This window comes from Homo sapiens, chromosome 15 (assembly GCF_000001405.40).
Source record: "Homo sapiens chromosome 15, GRCh38.p14 Primary Assembly".
Classification (NCBI taxonomy): Eukaryota; Metazoa; Chordata; class Mammalia; order Primates; family Hominidae; genus Homo; species Homo sapiens.
In genome coordinates, this window is record NC_000015.10 from 64,869,214 (window position 1) to 64,875,754 (window position 6,541).

The 6,541-nt window shown below is 51.4% G+C and overlaps 2 annotated features.

Annotated features, from left to right (window-relative positions):
* Positions 3,783-3,872: an enhancer, noted in NCBI's record as "active region_9583". NCBI's record gives its function as "activates an Ori minimal core promoter by ATAC-STARR-seq in GM12878 lymphoblastoid cells {active_cell/tissue: GM12878}" and the evidence as "EXISTENCE:reporter gene assay evidence [ECO:0000049][PMID:35858748]".
* Positions 3,893-3,942: an enhancer, noted in NCBI's record as "active region_9584". NCBI's record gives its function as "activates an Ori minimal core promoter by ATAC-STARR-seq in GM12878 lymphoblastoid cells {active_cell/tissue: GM12878}" and the evidence as "EXISTENCE:reporter gene assay evidence [ECO:0000049][PMID:35858748]".

Sequence of the window (6,541 nt, forward strand, 5' to 3'; positions counted from 1 at the left end):
GTGCAGTGTGGCACAATCTCAGCTCACCACAACCTCTGCCTCCCAGGTTCAAGCGGTTCTCCTACCTCAGCCTCCCGAGTAGCTGGGACTGCAGGCACACACCGCCACGCCCTGATAATTTTTGTATTTTTAGTAGAGACAGGGTTTCACTGTGTTGGCCAGGCTGGTCTCGAACTCCTGACCTTGTGATCCGCCTGCCTTGCCCTCCCAAAGTGCTGGGATCACAGGCATGAGCCACCACGCCTGGCCCATAACTTTTTTCTGAATCACTGGATAGTTGGTTATCATGGCTTCTTATCCTTAAATATTTAATACTTCACTGTGTATTTCCTAAAAATAAGTATATTCTCTTATGTAACTGTAGTACAGTTATCAGTACATTTAACACTGATAACAATAGTTTATTGCTCATATTCCTATTTGTCATTTGACCCAATAATATCCTTTATTATATGTTTCCTCTGGTTGGTGTCAGGTCAGGCATACAACTGTCATCACTCTTTCATCTCCTTCAATCTGAAACATTTCCCCAGCCTTGCTTTGTCTCTGATGACATTGACATTTTTGAAGAATACAGTCCTCCCCTTTCTGATTCCTCTTTTGGGGTTTGTCTGAGGTTTCCACCTGCTTAGTTGTGATAGTTAATTGAGGTTATGGATTCTCAGCTGGAAACTGCACAGGCAATTGGGTCCTTCTCAGGATATTACTCTGGAGATGGACTACCTGCATCTGGCCCTCATGGGTGATGTTCATTTTGATTACTGGGGCCAGGTGTCTGATTTTTCTACTGTTAATGTTTTTGCATTTTTCCTCTTACTAATAATCTGGGAGACAAGATCATCTAAATATGTTGCACCTCACCACAAATTTCCCCAGATTTAGTATCCATTGATGATTCTTGCTGAACAGGTGTTTCCTACAATGGTTCTAAAATGATGATTCCAGCCATTATTTTACCCTCAGAGCCTGGTCCTTGTTAAGGGTGAGCCTGGGTCCTATCTTTGGCTCCTGACCTCCTGACACAAACAAAATGCAGCAGAATTCCAGGGCTTCCCTGAACACTGTTGGGAAGCCCTTAGGCCAGTGGACAGCTCCAAACCAGGCTGCCAAGGTCCAAATCTCACCCAAGGACCTTGGGTGTGTCTCAGTTTCAGGAGACCTCAGTTTCCTCACCCACAAAAGGGGATTACAGCCACACCCTCTCCCCACCCGCCATCCCCCATGTGGGAAAGCACGACTGTGCTCACCAAAGCCCAGCTCCCTTCCTCCTCCTCTGTGAGAACCATGGACAGACCCCGGGGCCAACACAACAGGAAACACCTGAACCGGGGCCTATCAATTGTGGCAATGACCCTCATGTCGCTCCTGAATTCCCCTGCCACTGCCCTGGCGCGTGACAGCTATACCGAGTGAGTGGCCCGCAGAAGCTGAGGGACCTCAGGTGAATCACTCCATCTTCCCAGGCCCCTTCATCATAGAGGAGTCTTTTTGATGGCAGAGTCCCCTCTGTAAGGCCACTTTGAAGAGAGTGGCTGCTGGGATGGTGTTGGCCAGCCATGGGGAAGGATGTGGTAAGAAGCACATTTCTGGCCAGGCGCGGTGGCTCACGCCTGTAATCCCAGCACTTTGGGAGGTCAAGGTGGGCAGAGCACAAGGTCAAGAGATCGAGACCATCCTGGCCAACACGGTGAAACCCCATCTCTACTAAAAATACAAAAATTAGCTGGGCATGGTGGCATGTGCCTGTAGTCCCAGCTACTGGGGAGGCTGAGGTAGGAGAATCGCTTGAAATCAGAAGGCGGAGGTTGCAGTGAGCCGAGATTACGCCACTGCACTCCAGCCTGGCGACAGAGCAAGACTCCATCTCAAGAAAAAAAAAAAGAAGAAGAAGTGCGTTTCCCTCTGGTCTTGGGGCTGGAGGCCTGTGCAGAGAAGGGTAGCCCTCCTTTTGAACACAGGCTGCCATATCTCTGTGACTTGAAGTCCTGTGGGTTGTTACAGTGCAGGATTTTTTTTTTTTTTTTTTTGAGATGGAGTCTGGCTCTGTCGCCCAGGCTGGAGTGCAGTGGCGCTATCTTGGCTCACTGCAACCTCCGCCTCCTGGGTTCATGCCATTCTCCTGCCTCAGCCTCCCAAGTAGCTGGGACTACAGGCGCGCGCCACCACACCCAGCTAATATATATATATATATATATATAATTTTTTTTTTTAGTAGAGACGGAGTTTCACCATGTTAGCCAGGATGGTCTCGGTTTCCTGTCCTCATGATCCGCCCGCCTCAGCCTCCCAAAGTGCTGGGATTACAGGCGTGAGCCACCGCACCTGGCCTTTTTTTTTGAGACTGAGTCTCTGTCGCCCAGGCTGGAGTGCAGTGGTGTGATCTTGGCTCACTGCAACCTCCGCCTCCTGGGTTCAAGCGATTCTTCCGCCTCAGCCTCCCGAGTAGCTGGGATTACAGTTGCCTGCCATCACACCTGGCTGATTTTTGTATTTTTTGTAGAGACGGGGTTTCACTATGTTGGCCAGGTTGGTCTCGAACTACTGATCTCAGGTGATCCACCCACACTGGCATCCCAAAGTGCTGGGATTATAGGCGTGAGCCATGGAGCCCGGCTAGGATATGTACATATTTTTTAATTAAGACGGAGTCTCGGTCTGTCATCCAGGCTGGAGTGCAGTGGTGTGATCTCAGCTCATGGCAACCTCCGCCTCCTGGGTTCAAGCAATTCTCCTGCCTCAGCCTCCTGAGAGCTGGGACTACAGGCGTGCGCTACCACGCCTGGCTAATTTTTGTATTTTTAGTAGAGATGGAGTTTCACCATGTTGGCCAGGCTGGTCTCGAACTTCTGACCATGAGTGATCTGCCCGCCTTGGCCTACCAAAGTGCTTGGGATTACATGCGTGAGCCACCGTGTCCAGCCCAGTAGAGGGTTTCACAAATCACAAGGTGGCTATCATCAGACAGGACCCAGGACAGGGGGAGGGGCAACCAGATTGCCCCTTCCTCTACCCCTGCCTAGGCCCTGGCGGCATCCTGTCTCGGGAGTCACTGTGTTTTGTTCCCTTCTCCCTGTCTTGTCTTCCTGCCTCCCCACCCCTACCCTCATGTCCCAGACAAAAGGGGTGTCAGAAAAGACAAACTCACTCCACAGAGGTTTCTGTGACCAAGGAGGCTCTGTGATGGAACATGGATGGTGGAGAGGTGATGATGGAAATTCCTCCCTGTTGACATAATTTAACAAAATTCTTAGAGGAAACAGCAGGATGTAAGTAGAGAAAACATGACTTCAGGTTTGGAGGCAGACACACCTGGATTCAAACCCCAGGGGTAGCCAGGTGCAGTGGCTCACACCTATAATCCCAGCACTTTGGGAGGCTGAGGTGGGTGGATCACCTGAGGTCAGGAGTTCGAGACCAGCCTGGCCAACACGGGAAAACTCCGTCTCTACTAAAAATACAAAATTAGCCAGGAGTGGTGGCAGGCGCCTGTAGTCTCAGCTACTCAGGAGGCAACAGAGTGAGACTATGTCTCAAAAAAAAAAAAAAAAAAAAGAAAAGAAAATGCTTAATAAACTCCAGCAGCCTGGCCTCACAGAGCACCTACTGTTTGCCAGGCCTGTTAACCTCTCACAGTCACCACAGTGGCCTCACAAGGAAGATGTAATTTCACTCCATTTTACAGGTTAAGAAACTGAGGCTTAAGCAACTTAGGTAGGGGACCAAAGTTAGTGTCAGGACCTGGGATTTGACCCTCCTGGGGTTTTGGCCTGGGGCCACAACTGACTGCTTTCTGCTATTTGTCTGGAGGGTCTGTGATTTCAGATGGAGGCTCACCCCAGAGTCCTTGGGGCACCCCCACCTTTCCTGGCACTGGGAGGATACCCCAAGGCCTGGGCAGGTTCTCCACCAGCTGGCTATGGCCCAAAGGAGAGGCTTCGGAGGACTTTCCCTTATAAGGACAACAGCTCAGCTGTGATGAAACTTCTCAGCCTCCTAGCTGGGGAGGCGGGAGAGGGGAAATGACGGTGGCTCCAAGGGTTACAGCTGAGTTTGAGCCTCCTCAGGAACTTGCCCACAAGCCTCCACTCTCTGTTGTCATAATTTTATGGGAGGAGGGGCCAGGCAGGGCTTGGGACCAGAGGGGGTGGCCCACAGAAGGGAAGATGCCTACATTGAGGCCTAGGGAGGAGACAGGACCCTTCAACATCCAGCAGGCAGCTTGCAGATCTGGACTCCAAGCCGTAGGCCTATCTGGCTTCAAACTCACACTCACCCTGGGGAGGATTATCAGAGGGTCCAGAAGGCTATTAGGCCAGCCATCCCTTTCTCTCTTTTGTTTTTTGTTTTTTTTTGAGATGGAGTCTCGCTCTGTCACCCAGGCTGGAGTGCAGTGGCACAATCTCGGCTCACTGCAAGCTCCGCCTCCCGAGTTCATGCCATTCTTCTGCCTCAGCCTCCCGAGTAGCTGGGACTACGGGCGCCCGCCCCAGGATGGTCTAGATCTCCTGACCTCGTGATCTGCCTGCCTTGGTCTCCCAAAGTGCTGGGATTACAGGTGTGAGCCACCACGCCTGGCCTCCCTTTTTATTTATTTATTTATTTATTTGAGACCCGGTCTTGCTCTGTGGCCCAGGCTGGAGCCAGGCTGGAGTGCAGTGGCACGATCTTGGCTCACTGCAACCTCCTCCTCCTCCTGGGTTCAAGCAATTCTCCTGCCTCAGCCTCCCGAGTAGCTGGGACTACAGGCACCCACCACCACGACCAGCTAATTTTGTATTTTTAGTAGAGACGGGGTTTCACCGTGTTGGCCACGTTGGTTTCGAATTCCGGACCTCAGGTGATCCACCTGCCTCGGCCTCCCAGAGTGCTGGGATTATAGGCGTCAGCCACCGTGCCCGGCCCCTTTCTCCCTTTGGACCTCTAAAGTGGAGTCTTAAAGAGCAGGGTGTGTGGGGCTGGTCTGCTTTTGGCCTTCCTCCCCATGAAGCCTGTGTCCCTAGGGGACTGCCCTCCCCAACACAATTCGTCAGCCCACCGTCCAGTCTGAGAAACTATTCCATCCATGGAATCACAGGATATTGGGGCTGATAAGGATCTTTGAGACGTCTAGTCTCACCTGCTGGTTTTAGAGAGGAGGAAATAACAGCTCAGAGCGGCCAGGGGAGGTGGTGGCTCATATGTGTAATTCCAGCACTTTGGGAGGCTGAGGTGGGCAGATGTCTTGAGGCCAATCTTCAAGGCTTGAGACCAGCCTGAGCAACATGGCAAAATCCTGTCTCTACAAAAAAAAATTAGCAGGGCATGGTGATGCAGGCCGAAGTGGGAGGATCGCTTAAACCTGGGAGGCGGAGGTTGCAGTCAGCTGAGATCGTGCCACTGCCATCTCAAAAAAAAAAAACAAAAGCTCAGAGGGGACCTGGTATTGCCCATTTGTTTTGTTAAAATGTGTGTGTGTGTGTGTGTGTGTGTGTGTGTGTGTGTGTGTGTGTGTGGCTTTCTCTTGGTTTCCCATTAAAACTTCCTTTTTAAGAAATCCCAAGTTAACCGAATAACAGGATAAAGAGCTTTTTCTACACCCAGATCTGGTTAGTTCTGGGGGTCAGTGTTTCCCTGAAGACCATGTCTGGAGTTGGCAGCAGGGGAGGCAAGATCCCAAGGGAGAGATGGGTGTGGCAGATGGAGAATCTGTCTCTGACACTGCTGTGCATAAGCTGTGGCACCTGCAGTGGCTGCTCAGCCTCTTGGAATTGTAGTCTCATCTCTTAGGGGGAGACAATCACTCCTGGCAAGGCGATTTTGAGGATGAAATAAGATAATTTAGATAAAGCATTTGCTCAGGGCCCACCACATAGCAAGGACTTAGTAAATGGATAATCATATGGTGTATTGGGCACCTACTCCATGCCAACATTACATTAGGAGCCGTGGATTCCAAGTACAATAAAATGGGATCTTTCCTCAGGTTGCTCACTGCCAGTCAGGGAGACAGGCACTCCAACTCATAAATGCAATGGGACAAGCTCTGTGTTAGACCCACAGGCAAATTCTGTGGCAGCAGAGAGCAGACATCAATGGGCTGTGTTTGCTGAGGGAATCAGTCGAAACCTGAGGAGGAGGTTTCTTTGCCTGGGCCTCAAAGGAGGAGTTAGAGTTTACAGAACAGAGGTGGCAGGGAAGGACATTGGAGACAGAGGGAACAGAGTCACAGTGGGTTACCGGGTTACTGGAGCCATGGTCAGCTCTTTGTGTAGTCTCCTATTGGCTATAAGTAAGAGGTGGGGGACTGGGAGGTGAGGTGGGAGAGGGGAGCGGGGATGCTGGTCACCCAGAAAGGTTGGACTTTGCCCTAGAGACCAAGGGAGTCTGGGGAGGGGGTCGTTTCAGGAGGTGGGGGGCGGCAGGTGGGGGTGTGGGGTGGAGACTGGAGGCAGGGAGGGTAGTTAGGAGGTAGTGACAGTGAACCAGGGGAGGAGTGGTGAGGGCCTGAACTGCAACAGTGGCATTAGGGGTAGAGTGGAGGAGAACTGGGGACTTTGGGGCA